The 24867-nt window shown below is 34.4% G+C and overlaps 1 protein-coding gene across 8 annotated transcripts in view; it reads right to left on the bottom strand.

Annotated features, from left to right (window-relative positions):
• Positions 1-24867, bottom strand: part of CTNNA3 (catenin alpha 3) — a 1851072-nt gene that overhangs the window by 138018 nt on the left and 1688187 nt on the right. For all 8 annotated transcript variants that reach the window (XM_047425124.1, NM_013266.4, XM_017016152.2 and 5 more), the window contains one exon: positions 18768-18949. In XM_047425124.1, coding sequence (XP_047281080.1) covers positions 18768-18949 — 182 coding nt within the window. The remainder of the gene's footprint in view (positions 1-18767; positions 18950-24867) is intronic.

Raw genomic sequence — 24867 nt, forward strand, 5'->3', positions numbered from 1 at the left:
CCTGCCTCAGCCTCTTCACTAGCTGGGACGACAGGCTAGGGCCACTATGTCCGGCTCCTTAGATTTTTATAATATTAAGTTTTGATTCCAATCCTTTCATGATGTGTTCCCAATTCACACCATGTTATCTCCTGCTTCTTTTCTTCTAACTGTGCCCTACATTCCATATTCCTTCTCTGGGGAATGCTGCTTCCACTTTCCCACCTAGGAAGCTACTCATCCTATCAGATTGAGCTCAAATAGTTCTTCCTTTATGAATTCTTCATTAATCCACAGGACATAGGCTGCTCACTTCTTTTCTGGGTTCCCATTTCTTACTTTTTTTTTTTAAGAGATGGGGTCTTGTTCTTTCGCCCAGATGGGAGTACAGTGGTGGAATTAGAGCTCACTGCAGCCTGGAACTTCTGGGCTCAAGTGATCCTCTCGCCTAAGCCTCCTGAGTAGCTAGGACTACAGGTGTGGGCTACCATGCCCAGCTAATATTTCCTTTTTATTTTTGTGGTGGGAGGGAAAAGTGAGGGTGTGGGGTCTCTCTTTGTTGCCCAGACTGGTCTTGAGCCCTTGGCCTCAAGCATCCTCCCATCTTAGCCTCCCAAAGTGCTGAGAATAGAGGCCTGAGCCACTGCACCCAACCTGGATTCTTATTTATTACATTTATTATTCCTCTAATTTCTGTAAGTCCTCAAGGACAGAAATTGAGTCCAAATTCAGATTTTGTTTTTTACGTGAAGACCATAATCCTGTGTATAATACATGATCATGAAATATTTTTTAAATGCATGCATGAATGAATGAGCACATGAATGAACAAATAAGTGAATGAATCTTTGACTTCTTTATTCAGTTTCCTGGACTTCGTTCCACTGCCTTTTGTTTTTCCTTCAACCTACTTACTTGCAAAATAATTCCCCAGGTAATTTTAGTATCTGCTTAAACTGAAAAGCCAAGGCTTTCATGAAATATCTTGTATGAAATAATTCAGCTTATTTTTCTAGTTCACAATATGTTGGCAAACTTCAAAAACATTTAGTGATTTCCAAACAGTTACATTAAGCTATCTGAAGATAGTTTTGAATGAATTCTCTACAAGTGAGGATAAATTGTAATAAACAAAAATACTTTTAATGTTCAAAGGACAAAATATTATATTTAGTGTTCTCATTCCTACAAATCACTTGTTTCCACTTTTATTCCTATTTTTCTTGCAGACTATCAATTCTATCAGTTCAGAAACATGATAGAACCCTTTCCTAACATCTTAGGTCTCCCTTGTGGGATATAAGAAATATTCTCCTGCAGATAATAATTAGATTGATAGGTTTCAGGGTGTTTTCCTAAGGGAAACTCAGAAGTTATTTCTTCTAAAACATTTAACAGCCCAAAATATCTAATTCAAAATTCTTAATGTTTTGGCCCCACAATAATGAAATTGTGAGTCTTTCTTTTTTTGTTATTATAGATAGAAAAAAATTTGAAGCCAGTAAAAATTCCATAAATTGGCACATGATATGAATGCTATATTGATGGGAAAGTCTAGATAAGTAAATATAATGATTTGAAAGCACAGAGTAAGCTCCCATGGAGAAAGTATACTAAAGGGCCATTTTGCCATTATATGAACAAACAGAAGGCATTCTTACATTTTAAGTGCCATGATAATTACAATGAGAATGATAACTAATATTTGTATAGTTGCACCCAATTGACCAGTGAAATCATGCAGAAAGGACCTGGCTAATGAGCCTGTAACAGCCAAGGTATAGGCACTGAGATAAATTCTTATCCATAATTAGGAAATGTGGTCACAAAATACAAATATCAAAGATTGCCTTTGAGGTGAGTACTTACTTGAAATGAAGGATGGGGAAGGCAGAGGAAAATATCTGTACTCAAGGTAAAGCATTCGAGGTCAAAGACTTAGAGAAAGTAAAAGAAATGTTTACTAGAGAGGGTCAAGTTCTCTCTCAGTGTGTGCATGTTGTACGTTGTTTAAATTAAAAGTGTCTTAAGCAATTACATTTCAGAGTAGCAAAAATTTACTGTCTCTGTTTCTCTGAGGATCCCTCCCTCTATAACATTTCCTAGTACAAATACCTGAGCACTAGCGAAAAATGGGTGAGTTCCACAATCTGAAGACCAAACAAAGGACAAAAAAAGTCTGTGGTAGGATTGAGGCAGGGTTGAGATTTTGTGTCATATGGACATGAGAGACGGAGAGATCAAAATTTTCATGAGAGAGTAGTTAAAATATGGGCAAAGCATTCTTTCTGAATAAGAAAATAAATAAAGAATTAAGTATCTAAATAAGTTTGGAGAGAATGACAAAATCTAAAATGAGACATGACGAGGTTGAGGATAAGGTATTACAATTTTTTTTGGAGAGAGACAGAAGTTGAAATTTAAAATTTCATTTCTGAAAAAAATTCTATGCATAGAATATATTCATTAAAGTACTGTAGAAGACCAAATAAATCCAAACTACTCTAACTAAGAGTTCTTGAAACAGACAGCGAGAATAAGGCTGACAAAAATAGTTATATTCACAAAGGTGCATCCATTGAACTATCTTACTGTGTTTTTTTAAACCAGGTACTTTTAAACTCATTGGACTATTGGTTTAGAATACACATTATCAGAGATCACCTTTTTCTATAAAAATAACTATTTTATTTTTGTTTTTAAATATCAGATTAATTCAATATTGTTTTTATAACTACCTACCAATCACCATCTCAAAGAAATGATATTCAGTTAAATTTCTTTTCTTAGGATGTTTTTCACACATTTTTACATTTTTAATTTTATTTTTTAAACTTTGTTTTGTTTATTTTTAAATTTTGTGGGTACATAGTAGATGTGTATATTTATGGCATACATGACATATTTTCATATGGGCATGCGATGTGAAATAAACGCATCATGGAGCATGGGGTATCCATCCTTTGAGTTACAAACAATCCAATTATACTCTTCATTTTAAAATGTACAATTAAGTTATTATTGACTATAGTCACCCTATTGTGCTATCAAATAGTAGGTCTTATTCATTCTTTCTATTTTTGTACCCATTAACCATCTCCAACTCCCTTAATTTTTAATTATTATGAATACATAATAGTTGTACACATTATGAGGTACATGTGATATTTTGATACAAGCATATAACATATAATGATTAAATAAGGGTGGCTGTGGTATCTAATATTTATCTTTTTTGTGTTAGGAATATTTTAATTCTACTCCTTTAGTTATTTTGAAATGTACAATAAATTATTGTTTACTATAGTTTCCCTATTGTGCTACCAAATGCCAGATCTTATTCCTTTTACCCAACTATATGTTTGTACCCATTAACCACATCTCATTTTTCTCTTAACTTTCATGGTTTATTATTATTATTGTTATCGTTGTTGCCACCTATTAATGAGAACATGTGATATTTGTCTTTCTGTGCCTGGCTTATTTCACTTAACGTAATATCTTACATTTCTATCCATGTTGTTGCAAATGACAGGATTTCATTCTTTTTATTGTTGAATAATATTCCATTGTGTATATGTACCACAATTTCTTTATCCATTTATCCTTTGATGGATACATAATTTTATTCCATTTCTTGGCTATTGTGAATAATGCTGCAATAAAAGTGGGAGTGCAAATATCTCCTTGATATGCTGATTTCCTTCCCTTTGGATGTATATCCAGCAGTGGGATTGATGGATCACATGGAAGTTCTAATTTTAGATTTTGAGTAACCTCTATACTGTTCTCCACAGTGGCTGCACTAATTTGTATTCACGCCAATAGTGTACAAGAGTTTCCCTTTTTCCACATTCTCATCAGCATTTGTTACTGCTTGTCTTTTGGATAAAAGCCATTTTAACTGGGGTGAGGTGACCTCAAGGTAGTTTTAATTTGCATTTCTCTGATAATTAGTGATATGGAGCATCTTTTCATATACCAGTTTGCCATTTGTATGTATCCTTTTGAGAAATGTCTATGCAGATCTTTTGTACATTTTTGATTGGATTGTTCTTTTCCTATTGAGTTGTTCAAGCTGCTTATAAATTCTGGCTATTAATCTCTTGTCAGATGGGTCATTGGCAAATATTTTTTTCCATCCCGTGGGTTGGCTTTTCACTTTGTTGATGATTTCCTTTGCTGTGCAGAAGAAGCTTTTTACTTTGATGTGATCCCATTTGTCCATTTATTTTCTTTGGTTGCCTGTGCTTTTGAGGTCTTACTCAAGAAATCTTTACTCAGACCAATGTCCTGAAGTTTTTCCCCAATGTTTTCTTCTAGTAGTTTCACAGTTTGCAGTCTTAGCTTTAAGTCTTTAATTCATTTAGGTTTTTGTATATAGTGAGAGATAGAGGTCTAGTTTCATTCTTCTGCAAATGGATATCCAGCTTTCCCAGCACCATTTATTGAAGATACTCTCCTTTTCCCAATGTATTTTCTTGGCATTTTTATCCAAAATGAGTTGACTATAAATGAGTGGGTTTATTTCTGGGTTCTCTATTCTTTTCCATTGGTCTGTGTGTCTGTTTTTATGCCAGTATCATGCTGTTTGGGGTACTATAGCTTTGTAGTATAAATTTAAGTCAGGTAATGTGACGTCTCCAGCTTCAGTCTTTTTCTCAGGATTGCTTTGGCTATTATGGGTCTTTTGTGGTTCCATATACATTTTAGGATTACTTTTTCTGTTTCTGTGAAGAATGTCATTGGTATTTTGACACAGATTGCATGGAATTTGTAGACTGCTTTGGGTAGTATGAACATTTTAACAATATTGATTCTTCTCATCCATGAACATGAAATATATGGCCATTTTTGTGTCCCCTTCAATTTCTTTCATCAATGTTTTACAGTTTTATTGTACAGATATTTCACTTCTTTGGTTAATTCCTGGGTATTTTATTTTATTTGTGGCTATTGTAATGGGATTACTTTCTTGGTTTCTTTTTTTCAGACTGCTTGCTGTTGTTATATAGAAATGCTACTGGTTTTTATACATTAATTTTGTAGCCTGAAACTTTACTGAATTTATCAGATCCAGTAACTTTTGGGATAGTCTTTAGTTTTTTTAAGATAAAAAATCGGCCGGGCGTGATGGCTTACGCCTGTAATACCAGCACTTCGGGAGGCCGAGGCAGGCAGATCATGAGGTCAGGAGTTTGAGACCAGCCTGACTAACATGGTGAAACCCCATCTCTACTAAAAATACAGAAATTAGCTGGGTATGGTGGTATGCACCTGTAATCCCAGTTACTCAGGAGGCTGAAGCAGGAGAATCGCTTGAACCTGGGAGACAGAGGTTGTAGTGAGCCAAGGTCACACCACTGCACTCCAGCCTGGGCGACAGAGCGAGACTCCATCTCAAAAAAAAAAAAAAAAAAAAAAGATATAAAATCATATCATCTGCAAGCAAGGATAATTTGACTCATTTCTTTTCAATTTGAATGACTTTTATTTCTTTCTCTTGTCTAATTGCTCTGGCTAGGACTTCTAGTATTATGTTCAATAAAAGTGGTGAAAGTGGGAATCCTTGTCTTATTTCAGCTGTTAAAGGAGAGGCTTTCAGGTTTTCCCCATTCAGTGTGATGCTAGCTGTGGGTTTGTTATATATAGCGTTTATCTTATTGAGATATTTTTCATTTTGAGGACAAATACATACTTGTTGAGGGTTTTTACCATGAAGGGATGTTGAATGTTATCAGATTTTTTTTAAGAATCTTTTGAAATAATTGTATGGTTTGCATCCTTCATTCTGTTGGTATGATGTATCACACTTATTGATTTGCATATGTTGAACCACTGTTGCATTTCTGGAATGAATCCCTCTCAATGATGATGAATGTACTTTTTAATGTGTTGTGAATTCTGTTTGCTAGTATTTTGTTGAGTATTTTTTTTATCATGTTCATCAGAGGTATTGGCCTGTCATTTTCCTCTTCTGCTGTCTTTTCATCTGGTTTTGGTATTAGGATAATACTAGCCTCATAGAATGAGTTAGGAAGTACTCCCTCCTCCTCACATTTTAGAAATAATTTCAGTAGGATTGACATTATTTATTTTTAAATTGTTTGGTAGAACCCAACAGTGAAGCCATCAGCTTTTAGCCATTTCTTTTATGGGAGACTTCTGTTAATATCTCAATACTTGTTATTTGTCTATTCAGGTTTTGGATTTCTTCAGCATTCAATCTTGGTACTTGCATATGGTTAGGAACTCCTCCATTTCTTCTAGGTTTTCCACTTTGTTGGCAGAGAGATTAAATGTATAAATGAACAATGGCCAGAATTTATATGACAGTAGAGCTTTGACCATAACCTCTGCAGCAACCAGTCCTGGAAATTAAACCACAGCTTATGTAGCAATAGACCCAGAATGGACATGATTTGGTCAATGACAGCCAACTTACCTATATTTGCCAAAGCTTTCAATTCAGTAAGAATCAGAGAAAGCCAAATATACCCCTCAAACCCATCTCATAAAATGTCCTGCTCCTATTTAGTCTACCTGAAACTTCTCTACCTCAACAGTATCCCATCAGAAAATACTAGAAATCTCCTTTTTAAAGCTTTCCTTTTCCCTGCCTGTTTTTGAGACTCTGCCCAAAGCAAGTGATGGTAGCTGATTCCTCTGTAAGGTCTGAATAGTAAAGTCTGGATGAGCAGTCCCTGTATGTTCTCATTCTGTTTATTCCCACATTTTTGTATTAATATAATTTAACTATAACACCTAAAATCTCTGAAGATTCACACGATACAGAACCGGTCTGCCACTTAGGAACTAAAATAGCCATTTCACTAAATTTTCTGACAAATTTACTACAGAGTTTAGAAATTGAAATTGAGATTTCAGGTAAAAGCATTTATGCCTTCCCAGTTAATTTTAATAAACAATTACTAAGATCTTATTTAAGCTGAATGTTTGCTCATTACTTATCATGATTAGCAATCATCCTGTACATTTTTATCATGTAAAAGTAACTGACAGATAAAATCAGTCTCCTTTATATTAAAGCATTTCTCATCAGCATTACTAAATAGTTTCTAGTGATTCAAGACTACATAAAGTAAAATAAATGGATTATTTACAGGGAGAATATTTATGGGAAAGGCAATGATTATTGCTTATAATTACTCTAACACACTATCCAATAGGAAAAAAAGTAAGCCATCATTCTGGAGCACAGCAAAAAATAATTTTTCCTTCCAGATATAATTATTTCAAACATATAATGAATGTTTTCTTAAAAGTATAAGCTGAAAAGCCAGGCATGTTTTTCAAAATTGTAAATAATCCTCTTATCCCATATTTTATATTTCAATTATTTGTTAGATATTTGTGTATATTTACCACACATATGAGAAAGAGAATTCAGTAGTCTTATCAAGTAATGTAAAAAATGGACTTCTCTGCCTTTACAGTTTAAATCATAAGACATAGACTGTTTCTAAATGGGGAAAACATAAAACTTACCAATATTTCTAATTCCCTTTGCTGTGTGTGCTACAATATTTAAATTGCTATTGTCATTAACACATTATATTAGAATATAAATGTTTCACCTCAGAAAGCAAAACGAGTCATGTGCAAAGAGATTTCTTATTTAATGAACAAAAAGATATGAGCCATAGAACATACAGATTTCACATACTCCAACTATGCTTTCAGAAAGATTTAATTCTGAAACCCTAGCAGAAGTGAGGCCAGGTGAGTTTCCTCCCTCCCTCGCTTCATTTTCTATTCCATCTCTCAGGGTTGTATCTTAGAAAAGACAGCGGGGGCAGAAATGCTTTGTAAATGCAAGCTTGTTTCCAGTGGGAAGTATGCACAGGGTACAAAATAAGTTCAACCCCACCTCCCAACCTAGTTCTTCATCCACCATCCCTCTGAAGCTGTGCATCCCAAGGATTCTTTTTGATGATGAATGCAACATTATTTCTACATGGCTATTTTTGAGTGTTGCTTTGGTTTCCCTTCTGTTTGACAGATTTTAAAACATCTCCCCCATTGTCCAGTCAGATCTTAGGCTCTCCTGGACATGAGGAAAGCTGAGAGCTCAGTGCTTCCAAACAAACCCTATTTGATCCACATATTCCTCCATGTTTTTGGTTAATTCTTGAGTGCAACAGGCCATGCTTAAAATGGACAGAGTAAGAAAACACCTGGCTCACTTGCAGACAAGTTGGCTTAGTTAGCTGGCTCATCAAAATTCTGAGACCATGTTTAGGGATATTATAGAAACATAATACCAGAAGGATTACTGGCTGTGATATTAAGTAACAGGATGAGGTCAGGCCAGCCTTTTTAGAAAATGCAGCATACATGCTTTCTCTTGGGTAACTAATCAAAACTTTTTAGAAAGTTGTCTTCTTCCCATGTTTATTATACATATGGTTAGACTTGTGTTATAATTGACCTTTCAAGTTGTGATGTTTCAGGGGCACCTGAATAACCTTGTGATTGACCACATTTGTCCCCAGAAGGTTGGCCCATTACCAGACAAATGATGTCTATTAACAAAGAGGTTTTCAGCTGTATAAATTATCATACCATAATTTATTTTTTCTTACTGGTAAATATTGATCTTCATATTTTCAGAGGGGGGAGTATCAGGAAGGAATTAGCCCCATTTTGGTAAGGAAAATTGGCATCTCATTTGGCTGACAAATAACCCGTTTTCTGTAGCTATTTCTGTCCAAAGTTCTCTTCAGAACATCATTCTCATAAATACAGAATTGTGTCATTGAATAAAATTAAAATGAAGACAGCTGGATAATGAAGGTCCTTTCCGTTCTTTTATTGTCTGTTCAACAAACTAATAGACTTCATTCAACACCTGCCAGAGTCTCAGATGCCTGAGTATAAGTAGACTCAGGTATAAAAACCTTGAAAATCTTTACTTTCCCTATTTATATCTCAGCTCCTAGCAACATTCTGCATTCCTTTCAGAGATGAATTTCTGCACCAGCTCGTCTGCTCCTAACTGTTATCTTTCCTTTATATCTTTTTCTTTCCCTGTCTGCTTTGCTGCCCATCTCCTTGTTCTCCTCAATTCTTCTTCCATGCTATCTTATGTTGCTCTGGCTCTAAATTCTCCACTGTGTTCACTGTATGTCCTTAATACCAAGGACAAGGACAGTACCTAATATTCAGCAGATTCTCAGTGAATGAGCCAATGGAAATTCTAGAAAAATCTGTATAAATTTAGTAAAATTAGTACATATTTTTCAAGTAAAAACACATCACATTGTATCTTGAAATATACAATTTCATGAGGATAGGGATGTCACTTTGGCATATCTTTGAATAAATAGTTTTAAGCATGTTGGTGCTTAGAGCAGCTTTACTTTCTTTTAGGTATTTTCAATTTTATTACTTTAATAATATTCACACTAAAGGTGGTACACTCTTAACAGTCATTATTTTTGCAAAGATAATATACTGGTTTGTATTATTTATTCAAGGAAGAGTTATGTTTTGCCTTTTACCCCATAATTTTTCTGCAACTTTTAAGGAAATGCATCCTAGGTGATCATAGAAGATATAATTAAATATCTGGAAGTTATACCTAGAGCCTGTCTTCTGCTCACATCAGGGAAGGAATGAAATGGGTCTCAAGTGTTATGAAAGTCACAAAATGTGGGAACTGTTTAAGTTCACAGTCAAGATTCCGCGTGGACAGAATTTACCTAAGAGGGAGAGCAAAAAACGGGGCCATAATTTATGAAAAAAATAATATCTAATCTAATATCTAACTCTCATAAAGAGAAAACTTTCACAACCTTAATAAAAACTAATGGGCTTCCAGGTTAAGATGGCAAACTGACACATGTATCTAATTTTGCTCCTTTTCAAGTCTCACTAAAACTATATATGAGTTATTTTTGTTTATTTCTAAAGACTTAAACACACTAGCACGGAGAGAATGGAATGGAAGATAAAATAACAGCAAGAAATATTAACAAACTCAAAAGCAGATGACAAGTACTAAATGACATAGCCAATCGGAGAAAGTCAGAGTTCAAACCAGCAACAGGGAAAATTAAGAATCAAGTGATTTTATGCAGAAAGACTTAGGTATGATTAAACTTGGGGATGAAGAGAGGGACTGAAAAAGGCAGTTTGATCCCATCTCCTATTTCACACCACTGAATATCTACCCCCACCTCAGCCCAGCATAATTCCAGATATTATTCTCTGAAGAGGATAAAATGGTCTTTGCATTGTGGGTCTTTAGACTTATTTTAGGGGTGGGGTACATTTTATGAACAACAGGGTGATTAAATGAATGTGTGAATACTCAATGCTAAGTGTCAAGGTCCCAGTCACCCCATCCTCTACCACTCTGCTCCTAGTTCCTTACCTTCTAGGAAGAAATTTGAAAGATGTTTTTCTGGGAAAGAAAGTGATTAGTACAAGAAGAAATACTTGCTTTCCTCTAGAAAGTTTTAAATCCTTTACTCTGATTCTAGAAAATACCAGAAGATGTATAAAAGGAATGCTGGGTTGTTAGAAGATGCCACCTTCTCAATGTTAACAATGTAACACAGTTTATGTGACTGTAGGAATGGCCCTTCACCAAGGAGAAATCATGTTTTCAAATCATAAAGCCTGACTTCTCTGCCCTTGAATAAGGCTATCACAAGGGGAACAGAGATGCCTTGCTGCATTTGTAACTGTGCACAAATGACTAGAGTAGAACTTGCTCCACATCTTCAGTTTAGGCTGGAAGGTCAAGGTTCATGTGCCAATACTCAGAAATGGCTACATCAAGTTTTATGTAAGTAATTTTTTCACACTGCTGATACAGTACTTTCTATGAGTTTATTGTGTTTGAATTAGTCTATACCAGACTTTCTCCAAAGCGCATCTAATTATGAGTCTCCAACTGTGGCCGGATCCATATGGGTGGTCTCTGCTACAGTGCCACGCATAAATGCCTGTCCCTCTTCTCACTTATCATTTCCATTATGCCCCTACCATGATCATAATCCTTCAGTTGTTACGTATCTCCTACTTCATAAAAAGAAAAACTGTCAATTTTCTAAGGCCTTTTATAACCTATCACTTTCTTCATGCCCATCTTAATTTCCTTCTTTTTCATATTTTTTTTCTTAGAGCCCCTAAATGGACGTGACTCATTCCTACCTGCTGGCCTCCATTCTCATGAACTTTCTCACATACATCATCACCTTCCATGACTCAACCCCACACCTCATTCAAAATCGAATACAAATTTCATTTGTTCATACTTTTTCTTCTGTGCTTATTCTCCACAAACTCTCTCTCTTCCAAAATCCTAACAGATTGAACATTTAACAGTTTAACAACACATAACATAATTATTGTTATCTCTGATGTGTCAATTTGTTTCTTCCTTGAGGAAAGAACTGATTGGGTCTTATCCTGTGTTTAGCACAGGGTAAAGTCTTGTTGTACAATGGGTAGGTGCCCAAATTCTGAAGTCGGACCAACCTCCATTCAAAATTAACTTTGCTTGTGTGTCCTTGGGCAATTTATCTGACCTCTATTTCTTTATTAATAAAATGGAGGGTATAATAATCAATCAAACTGTCTAGAGGATAAACAAGAAAACATGTTTTTCTCAAGATACAGTACACAGTAAGCACTCATCAAAGTTTAGCTATCATTATGTCTTTTATTAATAAAATAATATTTGAATAAAATGAGAAAACAGCATTTTGTGGCACTTCAGAAGATATAAAGCATGAGCTATTTTTTCTTTTATTATTTTTAAACTATAGAGCTATTTAAAATCTATATGGAGGACTTCAAGTGTACTACTACTACCACCAAATGGGGGACTACTAGCTGATAAATACTGCACTGCCAGCTGTGACCCTCACTCTCACAGGTCCCACTACAAACAAGCGAAAAACCTGCAATGAAAGAAATGTGACAAAGGTGGAACCAAGGAATAGCCTATATATAAAACTGCTAAGTTTAACCCTCAGAAAAACATTACGGTGTCTGAGAAGAAACTCTTGAAACAGAATTGGGAATAAAATAGAAGTAAAGAACAGATTTCATTCATTTTAAAACAATTGGAGATTTATCACAGTTTATATGAACTGAAATTTAGGTGACTCTGGATTCAGTTCAAGCACAAGAGATTATCAGAGTCTAAAATTCAATTTTACTACCCTTCCTTTATTGCAGTTCAAACACACAATATTCCTGTTCTGTGGATGCCTTTGCTAGTGATGGCTATAGACTGAGAGAATGTTGGGCTGCTTAGCTTTTGTAAAACATGAAATGTGTCTATTTTCAAATGATTTGTCACTCTATGGAGTTATGAATCCCCTTCTAACACCCCAGCTACAGATTAGGATACCCTCAAAGCCACTGATTTGTCAGAATCCTTTTACAACTTGATTCAGAGTATGCCAACAGTAAGATATTAATTCCTTTAGGAGGGAGACATGTACAGAGCAGGAAAAAATACTACAAGGAGGTCTGTAACCTCACCATCTGTCAAGTGACATGCTGTTATTTTTCCACTTTGGCTCTACTCCCCAATATCAGTTCCTTTCTTTCCCAGTGTAGACCCAGTCATTTCAATATATCCTTCTTAGTAGTTTCAGTTCTGCTCCTTTCCAGCCAATGACTGGATACATGTATATATATATATATATATAGATATAGATATAGATAGATAGATAGATAGATAGATAGATCTATATATAGATTTATATATCCAGTTGGATATGTATGTATAAATCTCTCTCTCTATATATATATATAATATATATATATATTCCTAGTCGATTACCTTTTATATATCAAGATCTGCTTCTCTATCAAAGTTGTCACTCCATGTTTGTCTTCTGAAGGCTTCTCATATTCCACAGATGGCATTACCCCACAAATAGAAGCTGTTAGGTATTTACTTCTGAAATTTCTTTCACTTTTTTTACACATTCCTTTACTCTTTTAGAGAGAGATTTCTTCCTCTTTCCCATGGTTCCTAGATCAAAAGATTCCTATACGCCACTATGTTAAATGACAGATTTTTAAATAATTTTATTTTTAAAAAACTAGTAAGCTTACTAAATCTAAATATTAGAAATACTGATATTATTGGTATGATTTATAATGCTATTGCTTTTTTATATTTACCCTAAATTTTCATTTTATTCTCATTTTCTAACTTATCTTCTCTACATTAATTTTGTCTACTGATATGGAACATTTATTCTATTTAATTCTATTTTCATTATTGTAAAGATGTCTTGGAAATTTAAAATGCATATAATGCATATAATTTTCTATGTAGCAAAGTATGTTAATACTTTAAACTTCTTCCTGAATATAAGAATAGTAGGCCATTTAACTCTGATCTTCAACCCTTACACTTCTCCTATGTAGTGTGGTCACTTCAAATAGTCTTTTTTTGTTGTCATTGATTGTATTAGTCTATTTTCACACTACTATAAAGAATTGCCCGAGACTGGGTAATTTATAAGAGGAAGAGGTTTAATTGACTCACAGTTCCGCATGGCTGGGGAGCCCTCAGGAAACTTACAATCATGTCAGTAGGCAAAGGAGAAGCAAGGCACCTTCTTTACAAGGCGCAGGAAAGAAAAGTGCCAAGTGAAGGCGGAAGAGCCCCTTATGAAACCATCAGATCTCCTGATAACTCGCTCACTATCACGTGAACAGCATGGGGGAAACTGACGCCATGATTCAATTGCCTTCACCTGGTCTCTCCCTTGACATGTGGGAATTATGAGGATGATAATTCAAGATAAGATCCGGATGGGGACACAAAGCCTAACCATATTATTGATGGTGTTTTACCAAGCCTTCTTTGAATGTGTCAACACCTTTTCTAATTTCCTTGGTGATCATTCTTTTTTGCATCTTAATTTCTCTTTCATGGTGGCATTTCTGATTATGCAATTTGAAATTCATCAGTTTAATAGGTCACACACTTGGGATCTCTATTTCTTAAAGATGGCCTTTATTTAAATAAGACCCCCCAGGGAAAAGCATTCACCGTTGATGCTCCATCAAGCTGGTGTGTGAAAATATCTCTGGTTCCCCTTTTAAAGGTAGGGCTATAAGCTTTTCTAAGAGTCTTAGTCCCAGGTCTCCGGACTATGTGTCTCCTCCAAATGCCATAAGGGCATTAAAATTAAAATCTTAGTATCAACATTTAGGATCTATATATGGGCTAACAAGCAAGCAAAGAGAGTGACTTTCAAGACTTTCACAAAGTAAGCTTATGCTTACTTCCCTGCTTTTTGTTCAAATTTTGTGTTTTTTTGTTTATTCCTGGTTCCTTCTGAATTAAAGTAGTATTTTAAAAATCTAATTAATTCAGCTACTACATATTAAATATATACTAAGCATATATACACATGCTGTTATAAATTCTGGGTATAAAAAAAGGCAAATTTCATACATTCATACAACTTATACTCTGTTATGGAAATAGAGGCAGGAAATATGGGAAAAAATGAATTATTTAAACCAAAAAGTGATAACTGCTAAAAGGAAAGTAATATAGAGTGATAATGAAACTGATGTACAGACTAGTTGGGGAAAGTCTTTACCCTGGGTGGCCAAAAAAGGCTAATCTGATTCTCAGCTCATTCATTCAAGCTGTGACCAGAAGGAACAGCCATGTAAACTTATGTTGGTTTAAATGGTTTTTTTTTGTTTTGTTTTGTTTTGTTTTCCCTTCTCACTAACCATTTATCTCATTTTTGGCTATAGCTTTTTATTCCCCTTTTACAATTTCATTCTGTCCCTCCCCATTTCCTCTTTCCCTTCAGCCTAAAATATATTCAAACATCCAGAAGTCTCAAAAATCTTGTCATGATCATTAGTCTCTTTTAAGTTACTACCTTGAGTCTCTTTGTTTTTTGATCTGCTATTCTCTTACCTATCTTTTTAAATAAGGTTTTTTTCCATTCACCATTTCGTAAAGCAAAAGTCAACAACAAATTGATTAAATCTACTAATTGCCAAACTAGTATCTTTTTAATCATTATCTTCAAGTAAGACCATTGATTACTCACTGAAATTCTCTGCCCAGCATCCTCCTTTGTATGTTACTTTTCTTATTAACACTTGAATGCTCTTTCTTTATCAGATTCTATTTTCTCTGCCCACTTCTTCAAAGCTTCTGTTCCTCATGGCTTTACCCTTCATTGTTGTCCCTTCTAGCTCTAAATCCTGTCTATAAATACACCCACTTGAATTATTTATACTATTTTATGGTGAGAAAGCTTAAGAGTCTTCTCAGTGCCACTTACCAAGTTATTATTATTATTATTTTATTTATTTTTATTTTTTTGAGACAGAGTTTCGCTCTTGTTGCCCAGGCTGATATGCAATGGTGCAATCTCGGCTCACCACAATCTCCGCATCCTGGGTTCAAGTGATTCTCCTGCCTCAGCTTCCTGAGTAGTTGGGATTACAGGTGCATGCCACCACACACAGCTAATTTTGTATTTTTAGTAGAGACAGGGTTTCTCTATGTTGGTCAGGCTGGTCTCGAACTCCCAACCTCTGGTGACCTGTCCACCTTGGCCTCCCAAAGTGCTGGGATTACAGGCGTGAGCCACCGCACCTAGCCACCAAGATGATATTATAATATAACTATTATAGTTCAGGTTTCTTTCCATATGTTGTTTTTCATATAAATGTATTGATACTTTAAATCAGCAACAAATTATAGAAGGTTAAAAGTTGTAATTAAATTATCCAAAATCCAACTACTAAAACATAATCATTATTTAAACCCATGAAAGTTTAGTTTTGTTCCTATACAGGCATATACATGTCTATGTTATATATGTTTGTATTATATAATGCTTGTGATTATATGTGTGGAGAAAGAGAGAGAAACAGAGACAGAGAGAAAGAGAGAAGCAGAGACATATACAAACAGATTTCTCCGAATCTTTGCCTGCAGAAATTGAACCATGGGCCAAAACTGAATTACTTTCTATATGAAGAGGAATAAGAAGACATTTAGAAGCTATGGACTAGAGTTGGAAAAATGGCAAGAGTTAAGTGCAAAAAATAGAAATAGACATTTAAAGAGGTATTTTTATGAAATTCCATGTATAATACACAATAAATTTAATTTTCTCACTTTCCAATGAAATCTTCACTGCACATAATCTTTGGAAAGTGGATTTCTTTCAGAAGAATACAAAGTAGAACTGAATTATATTGTAAAGAGTAAGTTTGGTATAAAACAAAACAAAGACAAAAATATGCATATGAGAATATCTATGCATCCATATACATAATAGATTATAAAATTTAGACTACTTTCATACTATTTAAAAAACTTGACTTTATTTTCTATAGACTCTTTTCATGTGGCAGGCAACCATTTGTTTAATCATCCCAATTTTTCTATTATTTTAAATAATTCTATAGTTATCCTGTTGGGGCTCAGAAAAAAAAAATATACGCCAAAATGAAGGACTTAGAAGCAGCTTCAGAAGCAAAAGTTTTTCTCTGATTTTTTTCTGTTCTCCTGTTGCTCAGTTCCATTTTCCCCTGAGGCTAGTCATAAATACTAGAATCCTTCTCCAAGGCAGGTCACAGAAGCCAGAACCCCTTTTCCCCAAAGCTAGTGATAAAACATAAAAATATTATTCTAAAACGATCTCCATCTCTCTGTGTAATTGTACTAGTCATACAATAATTTTCCTACCTACCTTGTTTGACTATAGGTCATAAGACCCATATTCCAGCGAGGGTCTTGCCCCATATCCAGAAGGTAGAAATACATGTTCAGAGAAGCCAAGAAAAATCTAGACAGACAGGCCTTGCTGGGTACCCCACTCAGTCTATTAACATAAGATCATACCTTATTTGTCCCATCATATTTCTACATGATTGTCCATACTTTATTGAACTTAAGCATAAAAATAAACAATTTATCCTGTGTCTTTGGGTCTTCATTCTGAAGGCTACCATATATACTTGGTAAATAAATTTATATGTTTTTTCACCTATTAATCTGCCTTTTGTGAGTTGATTTTTCAGTAAACTTTCAGAGGCCAAGGGTTTCCTTTATTCAAAAAAGTTTGGCCAGGTGCGGTGACTCATGCCTGTAATCCCAGCACTTTGGGAGGCTGAGGCGGGCGGATCACGAGGTCAGGAGTTTGAGACCAGCCACACCAATATGGTGAAACTCCGTCTCTACTAAAAATACAAAAATTAGCTGGGTGTGGTGTTGTGCGCCTGTAGTCCCAGCTACTCGGGAGGCTGAGGCAGAAGAATCGTTTGAACCCCAAAGGCAGAGGTTGCAGTGAGCCGAGATCGTGCCACTGCACTCCAGCCTGGATGACAGAGCGAGACTCCATCTCAAAAAAAAATAAAAAGTTTATCACTTTATATTATTTCCTTTGGATAGGTTCCCTGAAGTATAGTACAGATATGGATACAGATGATGCACGTATGAAAAGTTTATAAAGATTTTCATTTTACGCATATTCCCAAATTACTATAAGGCTTATGTCATTAGATTTTCAACACGATGCTCTGTACCAAGCCTATTTTAAAAGTTTTGGCAAATTTGATAGATTTAAAATACATCTTATTCTAACTATTTTATTTTTAATATTTTTCAAATATTTGTCTGCCATAACTTTTATAAGGAGAAAGTGGTTAATAATATAACCATATTCTTTGTCCATTCTTCCACTACAATATTAATTTTTTATGTCTGCAAGTATTCTTTATATATAAATGGGATCAAATTTTTGTTTATCCAGTTATCCATTTACATTTCAATATTGCTTAGGACATTCTATTGATGTACATTTTTTGAAGTTCAATTTAACAATCCTTTCTTTGTAAATTATTTTGTATGTAATTTTCATAAACTGTTTCTCAATTTTAATATCACTGAAAGATTCATGTACATTTTCTCCATTAATTATGATTTTAAAATTAACAGTTATTTCATTACTCCACCTGAAAGTTATTTTGGGGTATAAATGAATGTACCAACGGTACACAGCACCATATACATGAATACTACATGGTAATACAAATGAAAGATTTTCTAAGTGTACTAGGTCAGCTTCAGTGTATCCTTCTGTACTGTGGCTTTTATAACTACACCACGACTGAATTATTTTAGTTGTTATAGTTTGTGTACATTAGTTACTAGTAGGGCAGCCACTATATATTTTATTGCTTTTTGACTAACTCTATAAAATGACATTTTAAGACAATAACAAACATTTTTATTACTTCTGCAATATGCCCACAATGTACATTTTTTTCATGGCTATCATTAAGTGATTATAATTTCAAATATATCTAGTTCTCATCTCAGAAGCAAAAGATACCACTATCCTGATTATGCTATAAATCACTATAACTAAAATTACACAGCTATGAAACTCAACCATTCAGATAGCTCCAATACCAGCGAATCACTTGGTTTACCAAATTCTTTGTAGAAGTCACATGCTAGTATGATACACAGAGCAGATGCCTGGGGAAGGGGAAGGTGAGAGAGTATAAGTGGTGTCCAAACCAATTCCACAGAAGTTTCTGAGAAACTTGCCATATTTATTTATCGATCGAAACCTCTAGAATTGTACACCTACAACTTTCTAATACTATATTTGCTTTTCCCCTACCACCTGATTTTTGGCACTTGACACTCAGAGAATCTTGAGGTTTCACTAATATGACTAATATTTTCAGCCATTATGAATATTACACATCGTTTTCCACATAATTACCTAGTGAAGTCTGTCATCTCCATCATGATCATACACATGTTCTTGGCCAGAACAATGATGTCGTTGCTTGTATCATCCCATATCTCAATCTCAGCATCCAGCTTACTCTTTACTTTCTTGAAATCAGCAACTTGCTCAGCAATCTTTTCTTTTTCTGCCTCAGGCAGTTGAGTCATCTTAGCCTAAAACATGTGATAATTAGAGTTAAAATCATTCCACTATGTCAAAAGCATTTTAGGAATAAGTAGATATTATAGGATACTCATAAAACTTGTTCATTTAAAATCAGAGGCACAATATAGTTAAATTCATTCAATTAAAACTTTCCAGGCTTAATATTTCATATAAAAATCTATTAAATTATAATAGTTTGCTCTAGAACTATAATGTTACATTTAGAATAACACTGTAGAACTTGGTGTCCAACATACTTAAATCCATTTTATAAAATAAATGTGGGACTTTGCAAATTTCTAATACGCTTCAAATTTTAAATTAACATCAATTTAGTGTAATGCATCACCTTTGTTAGAAAAGTGCGTATAAAAAGGTGGATGTATAACATAATTTAACTTGAAATGAGACTATGTCTACCTATGTGTATATATGCAATTACAGGATGAATTAGTCATGCCTCAACTTTAACATAATAAAGAAAAAACAATGATGCTTTTAGTTTGAATTTTCTGTAAATATCTCAGCATAATGCTTGACACATATTGAATGTTCCATAAATGGTAGCTATTTCTTATTCAATAAAATTATCAAAATATTTTCATATGTCTAATAAATTTTTTCATTTTGTTTGTATTTTTTCTATGAAGAATCAAATTAAGCTACACAAGACTAAGTTTTTAACTGACACAAGTGCTATTTCTTAGCCTCTGAAAGTAGTTTGTAGTTTCTTTTCTGAGGAAATGTGTCCTATGTGAGGTTGTAAGAGAGGAGCAACTTTTACTACTGCTGGCATATGGCAAAGCACGTAAATGAAGACACAGCTCACTACTTCTGAAATGAAAAGTAATATGCAAGCACGTTAAGTAAATTATAAGCCACCAACCCATTAAACTGACTCACGAATAGAAATGGGTTTTCTCCATCTTGACTACCGGTCATTATCATTCTCTCCATTCTCATAAAAGGTGTTTAAATGTTCAAATTACAATAGCTCCAGATAGGTTCAACTGGTGCTTCTCTTTACATTCTGTATCTCAGAGGTCATAAATCTGTGATTCTATTTATTAGAATAAATAGTGCTGAATATACACTGGTATATTATGGAAAATTATTTACTGTTCTCATAATAAAGCTATTCAAGAGCTGAACTGGTTAAGTGTATTCCAAGTTCAGTTACTTGGAATGCCACTGATTTCCAATATGACCTTGAGGAAGTTACCTAACCCTCCTGTCTAAGTTTCCCTAGACACAAAATGACAGTAATTGCAACTGCTATCCACCTGCCATGCAGGGAACAGAGTCAATTATTGGATAAGATTGCGACTGACCCTGTTGTGGACAGGGAGCTCATTGGTTGCACTTCATCTCCTTAATAACATCTCAACTCAAATGGTGAATTACAACAGACATTTACCTCTGACAAGATAAGAGCCAAAAGTTGGGCAATAGTTTGCAAAATTAAAAGTTCTAGAGAATTCTGGTCCTTTTTCTCAGGGGGAACAATAGCAGCAACAAAACATTAAGTTACTGACACCTTTGCAGAAGGTTTTAAGTGCTTCTATGATTTATTATATGTCATCGATCAATTTCAACCACGCTGAAAATTCCAAAGGAAGACTTAAGAGAATACTTGATGTTTGGAAAGTCTAGGTGAAAAATTCTTTATTGAATTATTTTGTTCAAGTTAAACAAAGAAACTGAGGTACAAAGCTTAAGAAAAATTAAGTAAGTAGAATATCTCTGATATATATCGCCAGGTGGCTATGTGTTTAGGTTTCTGCTTACATCTATAGAGCAGAACTCTGATAGAAATAACTGTCAAAGGCTTTTTCAATCACTGCCATCTGAATAAGATTATATTGTGTAACTATTGATCTTGGAATGTGTTACCAAACACAAGAAACATTTAAACTTCATAGCAGCCCTATGAGGAATTATTATTATCCCAATTTTGTAAGTGAGGAAATCGAGTCTCTCTGAAACATTAAGTGATTTATCAAGATTATAGTGTCAGTCAATGGTAGAATCAGGATGTAAATCAGAAAATATAGCTCTAGAGTTTTTGTTCTATCACTAAGCCAACAAACACGAATAATATTGCCCACAATATACCAATATATACACATTCTCCATGATGGTATTTCTCTATCGCTGTCTACCTTTGAAAGCAATTGTTCTCCAAAGAATAGTCACATTGTTTAGAACCTAAGTTTCCAAATCTTTAAATTATATACCATGATCTTTACCTGACAGGCTGTTTTGGACATCAAATGATATGCAAGAACACACTTTTTGAGTAAAGTGATGTTAACTGTCAACCATTACTTACACAAATAGATTCAGTTCTTTACTCTCTGCAGTGAATCTCAGAACTCTATTTATAATATTATCCATTATTTTTCAATGAAAAGCTGTGTTATCCCAATTGCCTATTAGGCATTTTTAAGCATAGATTTCATTTACTAATTTAACTCTAAAAGAGAGGTCGGCAGAATTTTTCTATAAAGGACAAGATAGTGATATATGCTTTGCAGCTCACACCATATCACTCCGTTACTCAACTGGCAGAGTTGTTACTCTGTTATATTGCAAGAGCAGTCATGAATACTACATAAACAAATCAGTGTGTCTCTGTTCCAATAACACCTTATTATAGACATTGAAATTTGAATTTTACATAATTTTCACATGCCACAAATATTATTCTGATCACATCTGATTACATCTATTCTGAATTTTTTCAACCACTTAAAAATGTAAAGGCCATTCTTAGCTCATGTACAAAAGCAGGCAGCAGGCCAGATTTGACCTGTTGACTACAATTTGCCAACACCTGCTATAAAACTTTCCTATGACCAGGGAACACAGATTTTTATTGTTTTTCTCTGTCTTCATTATCCTTACTTTGTTTGTAACTCCTGAAAGTGCTGACCAAGTGATGCCTGAAACATTTTCTTGTTTTTGTTTTGTTTTGTTTTAAGGCAGAGTCTTGCTCTGTCACCCAGGCTGGAGTGCAGTGGCATGATCTCAGCTCACTGCCACCTCTACCTCCTAGATTCAAGCAATTCTCCCACCTCAGCCTCCCAAGTAGCTGGGACTATAGGCGCCCACTACTGTGCCCAGCTAATTTTTGTATATTTAGTAGAGACGGGGTTTCACCATTTTGGACAGGCTGGTCTTGAACTCCTGACCTCGTGATCCACTCTCTTGGTTTTTGCCTTCCCCTTACATCCAACTGCCCCTTCTCAGAGTCCTCCATCTCCCCTTATCTGCCAAACGCGCATCTCCCAAAGAATCTGTGCTGACCCTTTTAACTTTCTTCATTATCTTCTCCCTTAGCACACTCATCTACTTTCTTTTCTTTTTTACATTGGGAAATAAAATTGTAAGTACTTACTATGCACCACATTATGTTCTGAAGTGTATATACCTTGTGGAATACATAATGGAATACTATTCAGCCATAAAAAAGAATGAAATCCTGTCATTTGTGACAACAGGGAATCTGGAGGAAATTATGTTAAGTGAAATAACCAGACACTGAATGATGAGTACCACATGACCTCACTCATATGCAGAATCTAAAAACGGTATCACAAAAGGAGAGAATAGAGTAGGGGTTACCAGGAGCTGGGGTAGTGGGGGAGGGGGTTTGAGAAGATGTTGGTCAGAGGATAAAAAATTTCATTTAGACAGGAGGAATAAGTTCAAGAAATCTATTATACAACATGGTGACTACAGTGAATAGTAAATTGTATTCTTGAAACATGCTGAGTGAGTGTAAAGTGTTCTCACCACAAAGATGATAACTGTGTGAGGTAATGCATGTGTTAATTAGCCAATATAGTTCTTCTACAGTGTACATATAGGTCAGCTACGCTACTTTCATGACTTCAGCCATCACTGCTATGAAGATTACTTCCAAACAACCTCTTCAGTCCTGTTCTCCTTTCCAATACTGTGATCAGTACATTCACTGCTGTTAGGAATACCTCATCACAGAAGGATGAAAAACACACTCAGCCAAACCATTTATCCTCTTGATTTTCATGTTTCTCAGTGATACTTCCTGCCTTCCAGTCTTGAAGTTTTATATTTTAGAAAATTATCCTCTTTTCTTTAGCCTATTCTGTCAGTTGTCCATTTTATCCTTTATCACATCCATTTCCCTCTATATATTAATATTACCATTCCTGCTGTCTTCTGGTCTTAATATTCTCCTTTGTTTTAAATCTTCTTGCTTTGCTACTGCTTGATTCAATCTTTCTGAATATGATGGAATTGTGCAATCCTTCATCTAATCTCCTTATCTTTACATCACCTTATCAAATAAAGGGTATCAATTCCTCAAACACCACCATTATATTTGTTTGATTAAAATAGAAAATTCATATAAAATGCCTAAATCATAAATGTACAGTTGGAACGATTTTCACAAACAGAGCAAATCCATGCACCTACACTCATATCAAGAAACCTTAAAAAGATTACAGACACTCGGAAGCCTCCTTCTATCTTCTGCTAGTCACTATCTCCTAAGGGTAATCACTAACTTCATTTCTAAAACTGTAGATTTGCCCATGTTTTAATCTTATAAAGGTGTGGAATAATAGCACATGAATTCTTGTGTCTGGCTTTTTGTATTCAGCACTTAAGTGCTTGAAATGCATCTATTCTGTTGCATGTAGTTATATTTTGTTTATTCTCATTGCTCTATACAGATATTATTCCACTCTACAAATATATATATATATATTTCTATAAATTTATTCATGTTTTTCTATAAACAATATTTTGAAAACTATTCCGTTTTTGGCTATGATAAATAATGAGTATTCTTGGACTTTTCTTTAGGTGCACATATGGGTGTATTTCTCTTGAGTATGTATCTAGGAATGGAATTAGTACATCACAGGGATCATCATAACCTTTGTTTCTACCAGCTTTTCAATCTCATCCCATCTTACTTCCTTCAACACACTGTACCCTCAAGCTAAGCTAAGCTATTTGTTGCTGCAGGTAAATATCTTGAGATATTGCCCATTAATTATTTTTGCTCATCTTCCCTTCCCCCAATTTGTTGGTCCAAATTTAATCATATTTCCAGGCCAGACTCATATAGTATATGCCCCTTTCTCCATTCTTCAAGTGTGTGTAATTATTCTCTCAAAATTTTTAGAACATGTTGTCAGTTCTTCCCCCTAGATGTTCATATTGTTCTCTCTTGTAGTCTAATCTTGTGAACACAACTATCTTATCTCACTTACTAGAGATGTTGTTGAAAACAATATCATCTTTCAGAATAATAATTATGACATTACACATAATTTTTCATTTGTACTTTTTAGATGTATTTTTTTCTCCTTCCCCTAGAAAATAAGTCCTCTTAAAGTAGGAACATATTGCATGATAAATGTTTGTTTGTGATTGTTAACAGAAATACTCAAGAGCTAAAAAAAACTCAAGACTTTTGAGCTCAAAATTTTATATCACTGATCTTGTATTTTCATTGTCAACCACATTTACACAAATGCCAAGCTTTTGCCTCTACACAGATCTTAGATTCATTTCTCTTATGCACTTTTCCTAGTATTTTTCAAACTCAGGTCCTTATTATTCCTCCAAGACTGTATTAATAGCACAATTGATCGTTTTTCATCTTCATATCTGCTTATTAATTGTACTATGCTCATTACTACTGCATCAAATATTGATATGCTTACATTATTTATCTGCTTAAAAAATTTAAATGACTATAATTACCCCTTAAAAGAGACAAAAGGAAAAGAAAGGAAAAAAGTGACATAATAGGAAAAATGCAGAAATTGTTGTCATACAGACCACCATTCAAATTCCACTTTGGCCAAGTATTAGTTATACAGCAATTAACAATCCTAAACCCCAGTTTCATATGTTAAATGAT

The sequence above is a fragment of the Homo sapiens genome, chromosome 10, assembly GCF_000001405.40.
Source record: "Homo sapiens chromosome 10, GRCh38.p14 Primary Assembly".
Taxonomy (NCBI): Eukaryota; Metazoa; Chordata; class Mammalia; order Primates; family Hominidae; genus Homo; species Homo sapiens.